The sequence below is a fragment of the Homo sapiens genome, chromosome 17, assembly GCF_000001405.40.
Source record: "Homo sapiens chromosome 17, GRCh38.p14 Primary Assembly".
Lineage (NCBI taxonomy): Eukaryota > Metazoa > Chordata > Mammalia > Primates > Hominidae > Homo > Homo sapiens.
The window spans coordinates 76,585,966-76,607,001 of NC_000017.11; the positions used below are offsets into that span (position 1 = coordinate 76,585,966).

At 47.5% G+C, this 21,036-nt stretch overlaps 10 annotated features.

Moving 5' to 3' along the window:
• Positions 42 to 331: a silencer, noted in NCBI's record as "silent region_9023". NCBI's record gives its function as "represses an Ori minimal core promoter by ATAC-STARR-seq in GM12878 lymphoblastoid cells {active_cell/tissue: GM12878}" and the evidence as "EXISTENCE:reporter gene assay evidence [ECO:0000049][PMID:35858748]".
• Positions 42 to 881: a biological region, named in NCBI's record as "H3K4me1 hESC enhancer GRCh37_chr17:74582247-74582928".
• Positions 200 to 881: an enhancer, noted in NCBI's record as "H3K4me1 hESC enhancer chr17:74582247-74582928 (GRCh37/hg19 assembly coordinates)". NCBI's record gives its function as "activates a minimal SCP1, AML or CMV promoter by ChIP-STARR-seq in naive H9 embryonic stem cells {active_cell/tissue: H9 hESC(naive)}" and the evidence as "EXISTENCE:reporter gene assay evidence [ECO:0000049][PMID:30033119]".
• Positions 882 to 1,562: an enhancer, noted in NCBI's record as "H3K4me1 hESC enhancer chr17:74582929-74583609 (GRCh37/hg19 assembly coordinates)". NCBI's record gives its function as "activates a minimal SCP1, AML or CMV promoter by ChIP-STARR-seq in naive H9 embryonic stem cells {active_cell/tissue: H9 hESC(naive)}" and the evidence as "EXISTENCE:reporter gene assay evidence [ECO:0000049][PMID:30033119]".
• Positions 15,122 to 15,416: a silencer, noted in NCBI's record as "tiled region #4376; K562 Repressive DNase matched - State 5:Enh". NCBI's record gives its function as "represses a minimal TATA promoter and a strong SV40 promoter by Sharpr-MPRA in K562 cells {active_cell/tissue: K562}" and the evidence as "EXISTENCE:reporter gene assay evidence [ECO:0000049][PMID:27701403]".
• Positions 15,122 to 16,887: a biological region, named in NCBI's record as "CDK7 strongly-dependent group 2 enhancer GRCh37_chr17:74597314-74598513".
• Positions 15,267 to 16,466: an enhancer, noted in NCBI's record as "CDK7 strongly-dependent group 2 enhancer chr17:74597314-74598513 (GRCh37/hg19 assembly coordinates)". NCBI's record gives its function as "activates an origin of replication core promoter dependent on BRD2, BRD4, P300/CBP, MED14 and CDK7 cofactors, with strong dependence on CDK7, by STARR-seq in HCT116 cells {active_cell/tissue: HCT116}" and the evidence as "EXISTENCE:reporter gene assay evidence [ECO:0000049][PMID:35650434]".
• Positions 15,793 to 16,340: an enhancer, noted in NCBI's record as "H3K27ac-H3K4me1 hESC enhancer chr17:74597840-74598387 (GRCh37/hg19 assembly coordinates)". NCBI's record gives its function as "activates a minimal SCP1, AML or CMV promoter by ChIP-STARR-seq in naive H9 embryonic stem cells {active_cell/tissue: H9 hESC(naive)}" and the evidence as "EXISTENCE:reporter gene assay evidence [ECO:0000049][PMID:30033119]".
• Positions 16,341 to 16,887: an enhancer, noted in NCBI's record as "H3K27ac-H3K4me1 hESC enhancer chr17:74598388-74598934 (GRCh37/hg19 assembly coordinates)". NCBI's record gives its function as "activates a minimal SCP1, AML or CMV promoter by ChIP-STARR-seq in naive H9 embryonic stem cells {active_cell/tissue: H9 hESC(naive)}" and the evidence as "EXISTENCE:reporter gene assay evidence [ECO:0000049][PMID:30033119]".
• Positions 20,026 to 20,546: an enhancer, noted in NCBI's record as "NANOG hESC enhancer chr17:74602073-74602593 (GRCh37/hg19 assembly coordinates)". NCBI's record gives its function as "activates a minimal SCP1, AML or CMV promoter by ChIP-STARR-seq in naive H9 embryonic stem cells {active_cell/tissue: H9 hESC(naive)}" and the evidence as "EXISTENCE:reporter gene assay evidence [ECO:0000049][PMID:30033119]".

Genomic DNA, 21,036 nt, shown 5'->3' on the forward strand with positions numbered 1-21,036 from the left:
GCCCCGGCTGAGTGGCCAGAGGCTGCCGCACCCTCGGGAGCTGGGCGGCGGGTCCCCCGGGGCTGGAGTGTCGTCCCGGCGCCCAGAGCGCGCGCTCCTTTGGCCCTGCCCCCTGCCCGGGGGACTTCGGCAGCGGCCACTCCTGCCACTGCGCTCTCTCCAGAGCCCAGCCCCGGGAGGCCGCCAGTCTCGGGTTGGGCAGGGCGCTTTCCTCGCGCCGTCCGGGGCTAGCTAGGCGCGGGTAGACGCCGCCACCTGCTGCGCTGGCTGCGCTCTGCCCTCTGCGGGCCCGGCACTCGGCCTCTAGACTCTGTGGCGGGTGGGCGGCGGCCGGGAGGAGATGTGCCCGGCTCCCTCCAAAGGACCCTCAGATCTGTCAGTCTGCGGACGCCAGGACAGCTGGGAGGGGGCGGGCAGGGTGGAGGAGCAAAACCCGACAGCTCAGTCTCTGGGCTGGCGGTAGAGGGGGGAAAAGGGGGTGAGGTGGGGAGCTTGCCGTGATGGGTTTCGTGGGGGAGCTAAGGCTGTCAGCGCTTATTTGGTAACCATCCAGGGTGGCCAGTCCCCTCAATCGCATTGAGTTCCTTTCACAGAACGAGGCCAGTCAGAGAGACCACCTGAAATGTTCAGCACAACGGGTTCCCAAACTTATTGGCACCAGGGACTGGTTTCCTGGAAGACAATTTTTCCACGGAGGGGGGTGGGGGTGGGGGGGTTGGGGATGAAACTGTTCCACCTCAGATCATCAGGCATGAGTTAAGATGCTCTCATAAGGAGCCCGCAACCTAGATCCCTGGCATGCGCATTTCACAAAAGGGTTCGCACTCCTTTGAGACTCTAATGCCGAGGCTGATCTGAAGGAGGCGGAGCTCAGGCGGTAATGCTCCTTCCCCCTCCACTCACCTCCTGCTGCGATGCCCTGTTCCTAACAGGTCTCGGACCAGGCTTGGGATTGGGGACCCCTGGTCTAGCAGGCTCCAGCATCAGAAAGGGCTGGGAAGCTCAGCACCCGTGCTCTCTAAGTGGAACACTCCCTGGCAGTGAGTGATGGATGAGATGGGTGTGCTTCAGTGGCCACTGTTCGGCAAGCTGTGACATGCGGCAGGCTGTGACATGCCCCAGACTCCCAACTGTCAGCAGGCTGCAAGGATGAGAGGGACCTAGGCTACCGTGTCACGGGCCTTTGGCTCTAATCTGTTCTTCATGTATCCGAGGAAGTCTGGGTGCAGCAACAGGTACCTGTCTGATTGCAAGGCTTCCCGAAAACCTCCCAGGGCCTGGGCCTGTGGTCAGGAATGGCCATTCAGTCCATCCAGTCTCAGTACTCCTACCAAGTCAGGGTCACTGGAGGTCACTCACATTGGGCCAGTTCTTTCCTTCACCCCAAGACTGCTCAGCAGAGCCAGACTCATCTTGCTACCCCGCAGATGGGCACTACTTGGAATTTATGGTGTCACGACTTTCATTTCAATCTTTATGGGTTTACTTGTCAAAATTCCTGTAGATGTTACTTATCCCCTGATCACTGGCTTCTCACATTTCCTCAGACCTTCTCTCTGTGCCCATAAATATCCCTCCTAGCCCTTGCTCTCAGTAAGTGCCTTACCCTCTACTTCATGGAGAAAAGGAGAATCATTCATTAGTAATTTATTCAACTTCCACTTACAAACCTACAAACTTGGCCCCCACACACAGCCCAGCCTCTCCCTGCCGGGACTCTAGTCTTTTTTTTTTTTTTTTTTTTTGAAACAGCCTGTTACCCAGGCTGGAGTGCAGAGGCGTGATCTCGGCTCACTGCAACTTCCACCTCCCAGGTTCAAGCGATTCTCCTGCCTCAGCCTCCCCAGTAGCTGGGATTACAGGAGTGCACCCCCATGCCCAGCTTTTTTTTTTTGTATTTTTAGTAGGGATGGGGGCTTTACCACGTTGGCCAGGCTGGTCTCAAACTCCTGACCTCAGGTGATCTGCCCACCTTGGCCTCCCAAACTGCTGGGATTACATGTGCGAGCCACTGCGCCAGGCCTCAGGACTCCAGTCTTAAGAGCTGGGGAGAGGGTGCTCTCCTCCTGTGTGGGAGTTAACCCCCTATCTGTGTTAATAATCCAGGTCCACCTCCAATGCCTTAAATGGCAGTACTCCCCTCACACCAAGATCTCCTATCCACCCACCTGGAGTTCTCCTTCCTCCCATCTTCAGCCTCACAGGACCTCCAGGGTCTCCATCCTTCCCTTTTCTCCCAGTGGGCCAACCCTCTCTCAGCAGCTTTCTTTCCTATCTAGGCAGGACTCCCTGGGTTATAATCTGAGCTACTCCTGCATCAGTAACCCAGATTCTCTTGTGTTCCTGGCTTTCTTCCCAGCAAAACTCTGACCTGGATTCACTCTTGCCTCTGCCTCTCCTGTGCTGCCTGTCCCTGGCCTGGCTGAGTGCTGCAGGGGTCAGGGGTCAGGTGTAGCTCATTCCAGAGTGTGAATTGGGAACACAAGTTTGGCCTCAGCTGGCTCTCAACATCAGCCATTTCCTTATCCTTGCTCAGCTCCAGCTTCTATCCTGCTCAACAATGATTCTAGAACTTACTTCTTTCCTCAAGCCTCCTCTTTTCCCAGCCATACCTGTGAGAAAATGCAGCCCATCAGGAGTGACCTTCAACTTCCCATGCCCCCAAGTTCAAAGTCATCTTTTGTTAAGAACTGTGCAGATTTTGCTCTCCTTACAAGCTAACCAATGAAACTGCCATAGTTCTGTGGATGCTGGTAGAAGACACAAGACTACTGGATCAGAGACAAAGGACTTTATTACTCATGGTGCAGCAAGCAACATAGGCATCATGTTTGTGTCACTTCTCTTTACTCCTCAAGCCCCATGAGAGTGATACAGAGAGGCCCAGGTGAGTGTTGCACACACAATGGGTTTGCAGCACAGCTGAGAATCCCTGAGATAAGGAAACCAGAATCTTTTATAATGGGCTGCAAGCAAACCTGCTCTTGTCCAAGAGGGAGACATTATCTTTATTACGTTGGATAGTGAGGAAATCTGCCCTCTGCTCCAGAGGGAGGCACTATCTTTATCTTCCAAGGCAGTCTGCTGTACCAACAATCTTTTTTTTTTTTTTTCTTTTTTAGACAGAGTCTCGCTCTGTCGCCAGGCTGGGGTGCAGTGGCACGATCTCGGCTCACTGCAAGCTCCACCTCCCGGGTTCACGCCATTCTCCTGCCTCAGCCTCCCAAGTAGCTGGGACTACAGGCGCCCGCCACCACATCTGGCTAATTTTTTGTATTTTTAGTAGAGATGGGGTTTCACCATGTTACCCAGGATGAACTCGATCTCCTGACCTCGTGATCCGCCCGCCTCGGCCTCCCAAAGTGCTGGGATTACAGGCGTGAGCCACTGCACCTGGCCTATACCAACGTTCTTGAAAAGAGCCTGGAACAAAAGGTCAGTTGGTCCCTCTGCTCACAGCATGATCCTGCCCATGCACCCTCACCTTATTGCTCCAGACTCTCCTCCTTCCAGGGAGAGCCAGCCTCTTCACTGTGACCTCCCATTCTTCAGCTCTTGCTTCAGCAGCCCTCCCTGCCCCCTCTGCAAGGTCCTTATCACAGCCTATGAACATGCCCCAAATAGCTCATCCTAAAAAGCAAAGCAAAGCAAAACAAACAAAAAACGCCATGGAGCTGGCCCCCTTCATAGCTACTCTCTTTTTCTTTCATCCAAGTTCTTGGTAGAGAGTCTATTCTGTCTCTGCTTCTTTTTGCATCTGACTTCCTTACCTACGATGCCATTGAAATTGTACCCACTGAAGTCACTAGCAACCATCATCCTTCCAAAGGGAGTCCACATTTTCCAGTTCTAATTCTGCTGCATCTGTCTCTCTGAATTTGACACTTAGCTCCCAGTAATTCCAGCCTGCAACTCTTTGTTCTCATGGTTTCAACAACCAGCTTTCTGTTTGTGACTCCTGAATTAGTCTCCATCTGAGGCCCAGATCTCTATCAGCTGCAAACCTGTTCAGCTGTGTATAAAGGCATCCCTGGAGACCTGCGTTACTTTTTTCTTTCTTTCTTACTGTTTTTTTTTCTTTCTTACTGTTTTTTTTTTTTTTTTTTTTTTGAGTCAGAGTCTCACTCTTGTTGTTCAGACTGTAGTACAGTGGTGAAATCATGGCTCCTGCAGTCTTTTTCTTTTTTTTTGAGACGGAGTCTCACTCTGTTGTCCAAGCTGGAGTGCAGTGGCATGATCTTGGCTCACTGCAACCTCCACCTCCTGAGTTCAAGCTGCCTTGATTCTCCTGCCTCAGCCTCCCAAGTAGCTAGGACCACAGGCGTGTGCTACCATGCCCAGCTAAGTTTTTGTATTTTTAGTAGAGATGGGATTTCACCATGTTAGCCAGGATGGTCTTGATCTCCTGACCTCATGATTTGCCCGCCTCAGCCTCCCAAAGTGCTGGGATTACAGGCGTGAGCCACCGTGCCCAGCTGGCTCCTGCAGTCTTAAACTCCTGGGCTCAAGCGATCCTCCTGCCTTAGCCTCCCAAGTAGCCAGGTCTATAGGCATGTGCCACTATACCCATCTAATTTATTTTTGTTTTAATTTTTGCAGAGACAGGGTCTTGCAGACACAGAGGGCCTACTTCTCATGGGTTTTTCAGGGCTAACTATGGGACTTGAGTATGTGTGGATTTGGTTTGGTTATACGGGCAGTCCTGGAACCAATCCCCCATGGATAATAAGGGATGACTGTATGTAAATACAATTATATAATATATAATTATAAAATTATACTTTTTATAATTACAGAATTTCCTTTACCAGAGTTGTTTTTTTTTTTTTTTGTCTCATGTGTATTTGAATCTTGTTTCAGCCTGAAGATTCCTTTAGTATTTCTTGTAATGTGTGTCTGCTAGCAATAAATCCTCTTACTTTCTGTTTACTTAGAAGTGTCTAGGCACCTGCCACCACACCTGGCTAATTTTTGTATTTTTAGTAGAGACAGGGTTTCACCACGTTGACCAGGCTGGAGTCCACTTTCACTAGAAAGTGGGGCTATAGAGTTCCTCATGCTGGCAGTTCATCTTTTGCAATTTTTTTTTTAAACAGTCTCACTGTATTGCCCAGGCTGGAGTGCAGTGGCGCAATCTCAGCTCACTGCAACCTCCACCTCCCGGGCTCAAACGATTCTCCTGCCTCAGCCTCCAGAGTAGCTGGGATTACAGGCACCTGCCACCACACCCGGCTAATTTTTGTATTTTTAGTAGAGATAGGGTTTCACCGTGTTGGCCAGGCTGGTCTCGAACTCCTGACTTCAAGTGATCCACTTGCCTCGGCCTCCCAAAGTGTTGGGATTACAGGCGTGAACCACCGCGCCCGGCCGCAATGGTTTTTAATTTAATGTTGACTTCCTCATTGATTTGTCATCTTAAAATTCTATTTTTTGAATCAGGAAAATTGATCTGGATGTTTGATAAATCTAAGGAATTGTTAAATTTTAAAATGTGTGGCTAGGTGCGGTGGCTCACACTGTAATCCAGCACTTTGGGAGGCTGAGGCAAGATGATATCTTGAGCCCAGGAGTTTGAGACCAGCCAGGGCAACCTAGTGAGACTCCATCTCTATTTTTAAAAAGAAAGAGGTCAGGTGCAGTGGTTCACACCTGTCATCCCAGCACTTTGGGAGGCCAAGGCGGGCAGATCACCTGAAGTCAGGAGTTTGAGACCAGCCTGGCCAATATGGCAAAACCCTGTCTCTACTAAAAATACAAAATTTAGTCTGGGGTGGGTGGCGGGCACCTGTAATCCCAGCTACTCAGGAGGCTGAGACGGGAGAATCGCTTGAACCCAGGAGGCAGAAGTTGCAGTGAGCCAAGATCACGCCACTGCACTCCAGCCTGTGAGACAGAATGAGACTCCGTCTCAAAAGAAAAGAAAGAAAGAAAATGTGTGATAGTAGCATTGTGGTTATTTTTTAAAAGTGTCCTTATTGTTAATAATACATACTGAATATTTACAAACGAATATGATACATGGAATTCTTTAAAAATAACCAAGTCTGGGCCGGAAGTGGAGAGTGGATGGGGACACAGATGAAACAAATTGGCTATGAGTGTGGCTCATTGTTGGGGCTGTATAATGGGGATATGAGGGTGCATTACAGTATTCTCTCTACTTTTGTATATATTCGAAATTTTCCCTAACAAAAACCTAAATTTTTCTTTTTAGCTGAAATATGCTTCATTAGATATTTCAAAACTATAAGGTTATCCTTAACTTCAATCAAAGTCTTTAAAAGTATATATACATGCTTTTCACATAAGATGAACTATGGATTACGGATTTGCAAAACCAAGAGATCAAAACTTCGAGTACTCTATGTTCTAAAACAACCACATGTAAGCATTTTGTAAAAACATATTTTTACTAAAATCAATTTATTTCTCAGTATCTGAAACTGGCATGAATGTCGAGCAAGTTCCTAATCAAAATGTATTAGATGTTCTAATTATGTGTCAGAGGCTGTTTTTGTCATTTCAATCAAAACCATTTTTAGATGATTGATTATTTTATGAAAAAAAGCAATGATGAAAATTGTTGCAGTTGTATTTCAAGAGTTTATAAAAAGACAAATTTATGCATTGAATTGAAGCTGAGTAGAAACCGAGTTTGGAAAAAGAAAATACAGTTGATGGCTTAAATTTGAATATGAACCGGATATTCTAGATCAGTCAGAAAATGGATTATTAGCACTTGAGATTCACGAAATTAGAGCCTACTGCTTTTCAGGGTTTAAGAAGTTTCTTTTTTATTTTTTTTTATAAACTCATTAATGGGAAGACTTTTTTTTTAACTTCTTGAAAATGTCAACATTTTGAAAAAAATGTTATTTTATCATAAATGAGAAACTAATTTTTTTTTTGAGACCGAGTTTCCCTTTTGTTGCCCAGGCTGGAGTGCAGTGGCGCGATCTTGGCTGACTGCAACCTCCACTTCCTGGGTTCAAGCGACTCTACTGCCCCAGCCTCCCAAGTAGCTGGGATTACAGGTGCACGCCACCACCCTCAGCTATTTTTGTATTTTTAGTAGAGATGGGGTTTCACCATGTTGGCCAGTCTGGTCTCAAACTCACAACCTCAGTTGATCCACCTGCCTTGGCCTCCCAAAGTGCTGGGATTACAGGTGTGAGCCACTGTGCCCGGCCAAACCATTTTTGTTTAATTTCATTTCTACATGGTCGTCAAACGTGCCTATCCAATGAAGCCTTCATAGAAGGCCCAAGAAGACAGAGTTTGGGGAGCTTCTGGATAGCGGAGCATGTGGAGGTTCCAGGAGGGCAGGGTGCCCAGGAAGGGCATGGAAGCTCCGTGTCCCTTCCCCATACCTTGCCCTATGCATTTCTTCATCTGTATCTATTGTGATATCCTTTACAATTAAACTGGTAAACATAAGTGTTTCCTGCCTCTGTGAGCCACTCTAGCAATTTAATTGAACTTGAGGAGTGAGTCATGGGAACCCAAATTTATAGCTGGTTAGTCAGTAGCACAGGTAATACAACCCCTGGGGGTTGTGATGGGAATTGGAAGTGGGAGGGAGCAGTCTTGTGGGACTGAGCCCTCAACCCGTGATCTGATGCTGTCTCCAGGCAGATGGTCTCAGAAGTGAACTGAATTAGAGGACACCCAGCTGGTGTCCGCTGCAGAATTGATTGCTTGCTTGTTGGTGGGGAGAGATCTGCACACATCTGGTCACAGAAGTCTTCTGTGTTGATTGTTGTTGAGTGAGAGCAGAGGAAAAATGCGTGTAGGAAATGCGCACGAAGGAAATGTGCACGTGTGGGAGGGTGGGGCAGGGCCGGGAGCCGGATCCTCATCTTCCCTGGGAGACATCAGTAGATAATCTAAAACATAATTGTCAACGCACACATGTAATTTCGAAGTATGGAGGTAAATGCCAAAGGCTCAGCTGGAAGATTTGAAAGTGGCTGACTCTGCATAGATGAAATAGCAGGAGAGTAGCTGGGGACTACCAATTTTGAAAAACAATATTCTCTCAGGGAATTCACAAGTTGAATTTTATCCTCAGGCCCAGCATCTAGAAAATAAGCCCAAGCTCTGATGCCTCTCATTCAGGGCTCCCAATGAGCTGGACCTCGCCTGCTGCTCTAGTAAGATTCCTGCGTTATATTTTCTGCAACAGCATCACCTACTGTCTTGTAGGCCCCACACGTGCATGTTGCTGTCTCGCCCCATTCTTGTTCCTGCATTCCTCTTTGCCTGGCTTGCTGTTTCTTCCCTCCACCCTCCACCTGCCCCACCATCACCTTTTTCTCCTGCCTTCCTGTGGATTATTTTGCTTTTAGCATTCTGTTTTTGTTTCTTGTTTGTTTGTTTTTTGAGACAGAGTCTCACTCTGTCACCCAGGCTGGTGTGCAGTGGCATGATCTCAGCTCACTGCAACCTCTGCCTCCTGGGTTCAAGCGATTCTCCCACCTCAACCTTCCGAGTAGCTGGGATTACAGGTGCGCATCACCACACCCGGATAATTTTTGTATTTTTAGTAGAGATGGGGTTTCACCACGTTGGCCAGGCTGGTCTCAAACTCTTGGCCTCAAGTGATCCACCGCCTTGGCCTCCTAAAGTTCTGGGATTACAGGCGTGAGCCACCGTGCCCGGCTCCATTGTTTTCTTTATTCCCCATGTTCCATGTTTTCTTCTTTTATCATTTCCTTCTTGTTTGAAGAGCTTCCTTTAGTTATTCTTTCAGGGCAGTTCTTCTGGGGACAATTCTCTTAGTTTTCTTCATCTTGTCTGGACGCTACTGCTTTCCTTGGGTCAGTCTATCTTCGTGGCAATACCACATTGCCTTAATTACTTTAGCTACGTAAACATCTAGATATGTGTGATGTAAGCCCTCTAGCTTTGTGGGATTTCTTCAGTATTGCCTTGGCTATTCTTGGCCTTTTGCATTTCCAAATGTTTTAGAATCAGCTTGTTATTTCTACAAGAATCCTCTTGGGATTTGGTTGGGATCACATTATAGGTTAATGTGAGTAAATGGGATATCCAGAAACATTATATATAGTTCCATGTATTTGGGTTAATTTCTCAATAATATTTCATAGTTTTCAGTATGCAATTGTGCTCATTTTTCCGTAAATGTATACCTAGGCGTTTGGTCCTTTTTTTTTTCAACTTAAACATACTTTATTTACTGATTAAGAACTTATTGTACAGAAAATGTCTTATGTGGTTGATCTTAGCTTTGTTCATGCTGACTTCAGGGGGTCTGGTTCTCTATGCTCAAGATTGTTCGATTGGCCGGGTGCGGTGGCTCATGCCTGTAATCCCAGCACTCTGGGAGGCCGAGGTGGGCGGATCACGAGGTCAGGAGATCGAGACCATCCTGGCTAACACAGTGAAACCCAGTCTCTACTAAAATATACAAAAAATTAGCCGGGCGTGTTGGCGGGTGCCTGTAGTCCCAGCTACTCGGGAGGCTGAGGCAGGAGAATGGTGTGAACCCAGGAGGCGGAGCTTGCAGTGAGCGGAGATCGAGCCACTGCACTCCAGCCTGGGCGACTGAGGGAGACTCTGTCTCAAAAAAAAAAAAAAAAAGATTGTTCGATTGCCGCTGTTGCTGTTGGTTTCTTTTCTTTCAGGCTCAAGGTGAGTACTTTCATAGATCTTAGTTTTCATTCCTTCTCTGGCAATTCTTTCCTGGATTCTTTGCTTTGCATAATTATACCTCCAGTGAAACCAGCATCCCAAAGTCACCAAGATAAATCCCCCTACTCCAACGTCACATGATCTTCTAATTCTACCTTCCTCTGCGCGCGGCTCGCCGGGCTCCAACCGGGGAGGCCATGGGAACGATTCCGAGCCTGCACCCGCCCTCTGTTTGGTGCTTTTTGATGTTATTGTAAACAACCTTGTTTTTAAAATTTCATTTCTTTATTTTTTCATTGCTGACATATAGAAATGCAATGGTTTGTTTAATTACCTGTGTATTGAGATTTTGCTAAATTCACTTTTAAATTTATGTATTTTTGGCCGGGAGCAGTGGCTCACGCCTGTAATCCCAGCACTTTGGGAGGCTGAGGCGGGCGGATCACGAGGTCAGGAGTTCGAGACCAGCCTGAGCAACATGGTGAAACCCCGTCTCTACTAAAAATACAAAAATTAGCTGGGTGTGGTGGCGCGTGCCTGTAATCCCAGCTACTCAGGGGGTTGAGGCAGGAGAATTGCTTGAACCAGGGAGGTGGAGGTTGCAGTGAGCCAAGATTGCGCCACTGCACTCCAGCCTGAGTAACAGAGCGAGACTCCACCTCAAAACAAAAAAATTATTTATTTATTTATTTTTTAGTGATGGAGTCTTGCTCTGTTGTTCTGTAGGCTGGAATGCAAGGGTACAACCACAGCTCACTGTAGCCTCAACCTCCCAGGCTCAAGTGATCCTCCCACCTCAGCCTCCCAAGGAGTAGCTGGGACCACAGGCACACACCACCATGCCTGGCTAATTTTTATGGATTTTTAGTAGAGACAGGGTTTCGCCATGTTGGCCGGGCTGGTCTCGAACTCCTGGGCTCAAGCGATCCACCTGCCTCGGCTTCCCAAAGTACTGGGATTATAGGCATGAGCTACAGTGCCTAGCCTAGTGTTTAATGAGTACAAAGTTTCTGTTATCCATGATGAAAGAGTTCTGGAGATGGACAGTGGTGACCGTTGCACAACATTATGATGTTTGCAATTGTTGAATACATAGAGGGAAGGGTCCCTCTCCTGCCAGGGAAGCTGAAGGACAGATGGCCCTCTCCCTGCTCATGGCAGCCAGAACACAAGCACAGGGCAGAGTCCGCCACCTGGGTGCTCCTGGGACTTTGAATATTGAGAGATTGATACAGAGATGCAGAGATAAAACAGAGTTTCTTTTTGTCGTTGTTGTTGAGACGGAGTCTCGCTCTGTCACCCAGGCTGGAGTGCACTGGCACGATCTCGGCTCACTGCAAGCTCCGCCTCCCGGGTTCACGCCATTCTCCTGCCTCAGCCTCCCAAGTAGCTGGGACTACAGGCGCCCACCACCACATCTGGCTAATTTTTTGTATTTTTAGTAGAGATGGGGTTTCACTGTGTTAGCCAGGATGGTCTCGATCTCCTGACCTCGTGATCCGCCCGCCTTGGCCTCCCAAAGTGCTGGGATTACAGGCGTGAGCCACCGCGCCTGGCCAAGATAAACAGAGTTTCTTACAACTGTGCATGGATAGATCAAGAGTCCACTGGGCTGGTGGCAGATCCCTGGTGGCAGCAATACAATGGCGTTGTCCCAAATGGACAGTTCCAGCAGCAAGATCTTGGATGTAGTCTCACTGCCTGGTCACATGACCACTTATTTGAAGTCAACTTTATACCTTATGAAAGCACTCAGAACTGGATTAAGAAACAGAGGACGTAACTGAGACTTTATGTGTGTGTAGGCGTGGGTGTGTGGTGAGGGCAGTGCCACCCAGTGACCTCCAGCTGGTACTCTGAAACTGTGCATGCCTCCCCAGCCTCCAATCTACTCTGGCTGAGTCCTCTTGGGAAACTCCCAGAGGCTGCACTTTCCCCCAGAATGCAAGACCAGGCAAGCTCTCCTTTTTGCTGCTGGTCCCTAGTGACAATCTCTCACCTCAGCACCAAAACAAAGCAAGTCCTCACCTGCTCCTTTCCCCAGGGAGCCCTGGATCTCAGATGTACTTGCCAAGTCCTGTGTGATTGCCTCCCTGGCTGCTGTCTTACTTCAGAGAGGCAGTTGTGGGGACAGACAGAGTCAGGGACATCTGCTCCAGCCACTGTTCCCCGAGAATCCCGTAGCTGGGTTCCCTTGGAATAAAAAAAGGAAGTGGGGAGGAATGCCAAGGAAGAGGACACTTCGAACATCTCTGAGCTTCACACACTCCAAACGGCAGTAGAGCACTTAAGAGAGGGGACTCCAAAGCCCAACAATCTCAGCTCTATTTGTTAACCGTGTGAACCCAGGGGAAATTACTTAGACTCTCTATGCGTCAGTTTCCTCATCTATAGCACAGAAATGATGATAGTACCAACTTCAAGAGGATTGCTGTGCTCATTAAATGTGCTTGCAACAGTTCTGGAAACAGGAAGCACTATACAAACGTTGGCTGATACAGTCCTGAACAGACTGAAAAGTGATGTGTTGGGGACAGACCTAGGCCTTGAGAAAGACTGGGCTCTTTGTGGAGGAAGAACTACACTGCCAGGCATTGGACAGGGGAAGAGCTGGACTCTGCCTGCAAATCTGGTGTCACCAGATGTGTTGGATTGCTGACAAAGATGGCATTGAATGCACAGCCCTTTGCAATGTGACTTTGTCACTCCTCCTAACAAGAGGCTGAGTCTGTTTACCCACCTGCAGAATGTCGGCAGCTGCATGGGTAACCCCAAGCCAGAGCAGAAGGAAGCTGATCCCAGCACAAATTGCTGATCTGTAAAATCATAAGCAAATACATGGTCATTCTTTTAAACCTTCAGATTTTGGAAGACTTGGAGGGCAGCTTCACAGGTAGTGAAGTTGTTCTTGGGCCCTGTCTTTAGGGTAGAGCTGCTGCTTACACCTGGGGAGCCCCAGGAGTGGTGACATTTTCTTCCTGGGCTCCAACAGGTGCCTCATGATGTGCTGTTTGTTCATCCCTTACCCACAAAGATGGAAGCTGTTATTTCTTATATCACTTCTCTGTTTTGTTTTTTTTTTTTGTTTTTTGTTTTTTCTGAAGCAAGCTCTTACTCTGTCGCCCAGGCTGGAGTGCAGCGGTGCCATCCCAGCTCACTGACCTCCCAGGCTCAATCATCCACCTGCCTCAGCCTCCTGAGTAGCTGGGACTAAGGTATGCACCACTACACTCAGCTAGTTTTTTGTATTTTTTTGTGCAGATAGGGTTTCGCCATGTTGCCCAGGCTGGTCTCAAACTCCTGGGCTCAAGCGATCTGTCTGCCTCAGACACCCAAAGAGATTACAGGCATGAGCTCCCGTGCCTGGCCATCACATACTTCTTGAAAAACTCTAGATGCTGGACCTGGTTGCTGGGCAAATACAAAGCTGTAAGCAGGTTAAAAGAGAATGGCTAATTTGGGAGGACTGCACAACCAGAGGAAGGGAGACCAAAGGAAAGGAGACACCCAGAACTGTCTCCTACTGAAGGAGAATGAGGAAAGGACCAGGTGGGAACTTTAATCAAACAATTATAAGTGTCCTTGCCGGGCGCAATGGCTCACGCCTGTAATCCCAGCACTTTGGGAGGCCAAGGCAGGCCGATCACCTGAGGTCAGGAGTTTGAGACCAGCCTGGCCAACATGGTGAAAACTCGTCTGTACTAAAAATACAAAAATTAGTTGGGTGTGGTGGTGCGCACCGTAATCCTAGCTACTCAGGAGTGTGAGGCAGGAGAATCACTTGAACCCGGGAGGCAGAGGTTGCAGTGAGCTGAGATCGCACCATTGCACTCCAGCCTGGGTGACAGAGCAAGATTCTATCTCAATAATAATAATAATAATAATAATAATAAGCATCCTTGGGCCGGGTGCGGTGGCTCATGCCTGTAATCCCAGCACTTTGGGAGGCCAAGGTGGGCGGATCACCTGAGGTCAGGAGTTCAAGACCAGCCTGACCAACATGGCGAAACCCCTTCTCTACTAAAAATATAAAAATTAGCTGGGCATGGTGGCAGACACCTATAATCCCAGCTACTTGGGAGACTGAGGCAGGAGAATCGCTTGAACCCGGGAGGTGGAGGTTGCAGTGAGCTGAGATTGGCCCAATGTACTCTAGCCTGGGTGACAAGAGGGAAATTTCATTTCAAAAAAAAAAAAAAAAAGGAAGTGTTGCAAGCTTCCAAGGGCAAACGCATTTCCGTAGAAGGGAAAGAGAATTAACCTAACATTGGACTCTCTCTTGTTTCTAACATGAGAAGCTGGAGAACAATTTGGCAAGAGGACAAGTTTCTTGTGAGACGCGTGGGTATATTTATACATTCACAAATGCCCCCAGCCAGAAGTGATGTGTGTCTCCACGCCCAGCTAAGCACTGTGATGAATGATTCTGCTCTGGTTGTCTAAATGGTGTCTGCCTAAGTGAGAAACCTACCTATTCCCTTGGCCCAAACCCCTTTCTTGCCAAGCCTCTCTTCTGTACCCAAATTGTATCGCCTGACATGGTCCTGATTTCACTAGCCCCTGACTCTGAGACAATGATACTCATTGCTGTTTTCTAATACCCCCGAAGCAACGAGCAAGGTTAGACGAGTCCGATGAATCTGTAAGAGAGGAATTCTCCACCCATGCCTGGGGTTGGCTGTGTCAAGAGTTTGTCTTTCATCTCCTCCTACGCTCAGGAGTGCTGTGTCTGTGCAAAATGGCAGGGCGTGCAGACCCTGTTTCTTCCTGCCCTCGCGCTCAGCTAAGGGTAGACACCATATCGTGCATCACCTTGGGTGTGCTATTTGCCTTGAGTTTTTTTTTAGGTGGGGCTGGGGGGACAGGGTCTTACTCTGTCACCCAGCTTGGAGTACAGTGGCGCCGTGATCATGGCTCACTGCAGTCTTGAACTCCTGGGCTCAAGCTATCCTTCCACCTCAGCCTCCTGAGTAGCTAGGACTATAGATGCGCACCACCACACCTGGCTAATTTTTGTACTTTTAGTAGAGATGGGGTTTTGCCATGTTGCCCAGACTGGTCTTGAACTCCTGAGCTCAAGGAATCCGTTTGCCTTGGCCTCCCAAAATACTAGGATACAGGCATAAGCCACCACACCCAACCTGCCTTGAGATTCTGAGGAAGCTGGTGTGTGCGTGAGTGTGTGTGTGTGAGTGTGTGTGTGTGTTTGTGTATGTGAAGGGGGTCGGGGTCAGGCCTCTAGTTCCCTGTTCCCCAGTGCCAACACAGAACTATTCTTTGTGCCCACCCAGTATGTGATAATCCAGAAAATGCCACATTTTTGTATAAACCGATTTGCAAACAATTTTGTAGATAAGTATAAATCCTCAAGCTTGGTACAGTGTACTTTTCTCCTTCTGTGAACACAATGTTTGACTTTAAGCTTTCCTTTAAATACCAGTCAAAGCAGGGAATAGTGACTTATGCCTGTAATCCCAGTACTTTGGGAGGCCGAGGTGGGCCGATCGCTTGAGCCCAAGAGTTCGAGACAAGCCTAGGCGACATCGTGAGACCCTGTCTCTACCAAAAAGAGAGAAAAAAAGTTAACTGGGTGTGGTGGCACATATGCAGGAAGCTAAGGTGGGAGGATCGTTTGAGCCTGGGAGTTCAAGGCTGCAGAGAGCTGCAATAGCGCCACTGCACTCCAGCCTGGGTGATGGGGTGAGACCCTCTCTCAAAAATAAATACATACAGTCAACAGGACATGTGAGGACTGCCATGGAGACCAGCATGAATGCAACACTATCCTCTGAGTACACTTTAGACTTTCCATTACTATCACCAGAAAGGGGTCCCAATCCAGACCCCAAGAGAGGGTTCTGGGATCTCATGCAATAAAGAATTTAGGGTGAGTCCAGAGTAAAGTGAAAGCAAGTTTGTTAGAGAAGTAAAGAAACAAAAGAATAGCTATTCCATAGGCAGAGCAGCCCCAAGAGCTGCTGGGTGGCTATTTTTTTTATTTATTTTTATTTTTAGTAGAGATGGGGTTTCATGGTGTTAGCCTGGATGGTCTCAATCTCCTGACCTTGTGATCCACCCGCCTCCGCCTCCCAGTGGGTGGCTATTTTTATGGTTATCTCTTGATCATATGCTAAACGAGGAGTGGATTATTATGTTTTCCAGGAAACGGGTGGGGATTTTTTGGAAATGAGGTTTCCTCCCCCTTTTAGACCATATAAGGTAACTTCTGAACGTTGCCATGGCATTTCTAAGCTTTCATGGTGCCGGTGGGAGTGACTTTAGCATGCTAATGCATTATAATTAGCATATAATGGGCAGTGAGGACTATTAGAGGTTACATTTGTTGCCATCTTGGTTTTGGCTGGCTTCTTTACTGCATCCTGTTTTATCAGCAGGGTCTTTGTGACCTGTATCTTGCGAGCTCCTATCTCACCCTATGACTAAGAATGTCTAACCCCCTAGGAATGCAGTACAGCAGGTCTCAACCTCATTTTACCCAGTCCCTATTCAAGATGGAGTCACTCTGGTTGAAGTGCCTGTAACATTACTAACACAAATATCTGTCCTGCTTCTGAATCTCTCTTGATCTCTCCAATGCACCCTCGACCCAGGAGCAACTTTTGGACCCTTTGCCTACTCCTCACTGCAAAAAAGAACAAGATCAAAAACTGCTGATCCTAGGCTGGGCATGGTGGCTCACACCTGTAATCCCAGCATTTTGGGAGGCCAAGGCAGGCGGACCGCCTGAGGTCGAGAGTTTGAGACCAGCCTGGCCAACATGGCGAAATCCCGTCTCTACTAAAAATACAAAAATTAGCCAGGTGTGGTGGCAGGCACCTGTAATCCCAGCTACTCGGGAGGCTGAGGCAGGAGAATCACTTGTACCTGGGAGGCAGAGGTTGCAGTGAGCCCAGATCGTGCCATTACATTCCAGCCTTGGCGAGAGAACAAGACTTTGTCTCAAAAAAAAAACAAAAAACCCAAAAAAACTGCTGACCCAGAAGCAGAGAATTGCGAGACGTGTTAGATCTGTACTTTAACCTTTTAAATCCTCTAAAACAGCTGAATTAGTTGTCTAAGTCCCAGGCATGTGAGAAAAGAGGAAAAATAATGTTAAATCCGTGAGTAACTGTGTGAGCCCTTGCACCAGTGACTCTGAAAGGCGGAAGAGAAAGAGAGACTGGGGTTGTTGAAAGATAAATTATGCTGCAACGTTTAATGGATAAGCCATGGTTTACCCACCGGTAAAACACTCAATTCCTGGCCCAGGCTTTGAATCATTGCAAGGGCACTCCTTGGGAAGAGGACATAGTTGGAGGCTGTTAGTCTGTTTTTACATTGCTATAAATACCTGACAGTGGATAATTTATAAAGAAAAGAGGTTTAATTGGCTCATTGTTCTGCAGGCTGTACAGGAAGCATGGTGCCCACATCTGCTTGGCTTCTGGTGAGGCCTCAGGGAGCTCTTATTCATGGCGGAAGGTGAAGTGGGAGCAGGCATGTCACTTGGAGAGAGAGCAATAGAGAGAAGGGAGAGGTCCCAGACTCTTAAACAACCAGACCTTGCATGAACTAACTGAGCAAAACTCACTTATCACCAAGGGGATGTTGCTGAGCCATTCATGAAGGATCTACCCCATGATCGAATCACCCCCCATCAGGCCCCACATCTAACATTAGGAATCATGTTTCAACATGAGGTTTGGAGGGGACACACATCCAAACCATATCAGAGGCCGTAGAGTTTGGAAGCCTGAACTTGCACTTGGGGTTTTTGGTCTAAGCTGGAAGGAGTCAAGAAAAAGGATGGGGCTGGGCGCGGTGACTCACACCTGTAATCCCAGCACTTTGGGAGGCTGAGGTGGGCAGATCACTTGAGGTCAGGAGTTCAAGACCAGCCTGGTTAAGATGGTGGAACTCCGTCTCTACTAAAAATACAAAAATTAGCCAGGCGTGGTGGTGCACACCTGTGATCCCAGCTACTCAGGAGGCTGAGGCAGGAGAATTGCTTGAACACAGGAGGCAGAGGTTGCAGCGAGCCAAGATCACACTATTGCACTCCAGCCTGGGTGGCAAGAGCAAGACTCCATCTCAAAAAAAAAAAAAAAAAAAAAGAGAGACAGAGATGGGAACTATGATTTTTTAAATAATTTTTTTTTTACTTTTTTTTTTTTTTTGAGACGGAGTCTCTGCTCACTACAACCTTTGCTTCCCAGGCTCAAGAAATTCTCCCGCCTCAGCCTCCTGAGTAGCTTGGATTACATGTGCCCGCCACCATGCCCAGCTAATTTTTGTATTTTTAGTAGAGACGGGGTTTCACCATGTTGGCCAGGCTGGTCTCGAACTCCTGACCTCAAATGATCCTTCTGCCTTGGCATCCCAAAGTGCTGGGATTACATGTGTGAGCCACTGTGCCCCACCTAATTTTTTTTTTTTTTAAATAATAGAGAAGGGGTTTTGCCATATTGCCCAGGCTGGTCTCAAGCAATCCTCCCACCTCAGCCTCCCAAAATGTTGGGATTACAGGTGTGAGCCTCCATACCTGGCCAGAGTGGGAGCTATGTTTTTTTTTTTTTTTTTTTTTTTTTGAAATGGAGTCTCACTATATCACCCAGGCTGGAGTATGTAGTGGCACTATCTCGGTTCACTGCAATCTCTGCCTCCCAGGTTCAAGTGATTCTCTTGCCTCAGCCTCCCAAGTAGCTGGGATTATAGGTGCCTGCCACCAAGCTCGGCTAATTCTTTGTATTTTTAGAAGAGACAGGTTTCGTTATGTTGGCCAGGCTGGTCTCAAACTCCTAACCTCAGGTGATCTGCCCCCTTCTGTCTCCCAAAGTGCTGGGATTCCAGGCGTGAGCCACCGCATCTGGCCAGAGTGGGAGCTATACTTTATGGCAGCCTCTTTTATTGAACAGATTATATGTTCCTGTCCACATTTTATTTCAAATTTATAAGAGAACTAGGCTTCTAAGAAAGTCAGTTCTAAATGTATTTCTGGTAGAGTTTTCATAGCAAGAAAGAGAGACTAGATGGCCAGGCGTGGTGGCTCACACCTGTAGTCCCAGCACTTTGGGAGGCTGAGGCAGGCAGATCATGAGGTCAGGAGACCAAGACCATCCTGGCTAACACGGTGAAACCCCGTCTCTACTAAAAACACAAAAAATTAGTTGGGCGTGGTGGGGGGGCGCCTGTAGTCCCAGCTACTTGGGAGGCTGAGGCAGGAGAATGGCATGAACCCGGGAGGCAGAGCTTGCAGTGAGCCAAGATTGTGCCACTGCACTCCAGCCTAGGGACAGAGCGAGACTCTGTCTCAAAAAAAAAAAAAAAAAAAAAAGAGAGACTAGATAATACCATGTGACCATATATAAGAAAGGGATGTCTGTTTCGGCTGTTTCAGGGTTGGGCTTATTCCCAGAATTAGAGGCAACTGTGTGAGTTAAAACCACCTAGAAAGGCCTTCGTATTAGGTGTCCTCTCCCAGAAGTAGAGCCTGAGCCAGGAATTTGGGGCATGTGGTTTACTGAGGGAGGGCTCATCAGGAAGCATCTATAAGGGAGAGAAGAAAAGGATAATCGAGTGAAGTCTCAGGTAAAGGCTTGGCTTGACCTGCCAAGATCTCAAGCATAGATCCCAACACAGAATTGTCCTGTCCCCTTTTGTACCCCTTAAGTGAGACATCAACTCCCCAGGAGTGGGGATGGGGTGGAATGTCCCAAGCACGTCAGGGTGACAGGCTCTCCAGGAGCCTCCAGAGAAGGTCACAGGTGTCAGCCATTAGCCTGGGTAGTGTTTTGCTGGCTGATAAAGGGCATTTGGGTGGGTCCCTGGCAATAGTCTGTTATTCACATAAGCCAGAGTTCTGCTTTTGAGAGTGTATCAGGAAATTATGGAACTATGGTATTAGAAATGCTAACTACAGAGATGTCATCTTTTTTTGAGGCTGAAGACAATGATCCGTCTCAGAAGCAGGTGACTTATTCCCCCTTCCCCCAATCTTGTGTGTTTCTTTGGACAGTGTCCTAGATGGTAGCATTAATTGCACCTCTGTTATGCCACCAGCTCTATCTTGGTAAGCTTCTGAAGCACAAGTTAATTAAATGAGTGTAGCTGATGAATGCTAAATGATAATGTGTTGGTTTTTTTTCTTCCTGCCTGACATGTAAGATAACCTGTTAGACGTGTGTAGTGATGTGTGATGGGGTGGGAGGATTCCATTTTTTGCATCTTTATTACAGTGGGTCTTAGGTACTAAAGCATTTTAAAAGATTCTCCTTATTTCCCAAGAAGACAGATAAGATGTTGGCTGCATTTTTAGGTTGTGTAATTCAGGTGATTGTTTGGTATATTCACGTTGTGAAACTATAACTTTCATGCACGTCCGTGTGAAGAGACCACCAAACAGGCTTTGGGTGAGCAACATGGCTGTTTATTTCACCTGGGTGCAGGTGGGCTGAGTCCGAAAAGAGAGTCAGCGAAGGGAGATAAGGGTGGGGCCATTTTATAGGATTTGGGTGGATAAAGGAAAATTACAGTCAAAGGGGGTTTGTTCTCTGGTGGGCAGAGTGGGGGTCACAAGGTGCTCAGCAGGGGAGCTTTTGAGCCAGAATGAGCCAGGAGAAGGAATTTCACAAGACAATGTCATCAGTTAAGGCGGGAGCAGGCCATTTTCACTTCTTTTGTGGTGGAATGTCATCAGTTGAGGCAGGAACCGGCCATCTGGATGTGTACGTGCAGGTCACAGGGGATATGATGGCTTAGCTTCGGCTCAGAGGCCTGACATTCCTGTCTTCTTATATTAATAAGAAAAATAAAATGAAATAGTGGTAAAGTGTTGGGACGGTGAAAATTTTTGGGGGTGGTGTGGAGAGATAATGGGTGATGTTTCTCAGGGCTGCTTCGAGCGGGATTAGGGGCGGCGTGGGAACCTAGAGTGGGAGAGATTAAGCTGAAGGAAGATTTTGTGGTAAGGGGTGATACTGTGGGACTATTAGAAGAAACATTTGTCATTTAGAATTATTGGTGATGGCCTGGATACGGTTTTGTATGAATTGAAAAACTAAACGGAATAAGAGAAGGAGAAAAACAGGTATTAAAGGTCTAAGAATTGGGAGGACCTAGGACATCTAATTAGAGTACCTAAGGAGATTCAGCATAGCCTTGCCAGCAAAGATTATTTATTTACTTCAAGAGTTAAGAGTGGCAGTTTGGGGATAGCACCAGGAGATATCAGCTGTGATGGCTTGGAGAAATAGTGTAAACCAGCAGTGTAAACAAGAGCAGGGAATGCATGAGTAGTTGAGAATGGTGAATAGGAGTATGACTAGACAGAAGATAGTAGGGATGACAAGTTTTTTGGGGCACAGTCTAAGTTGGTCTGGTGTC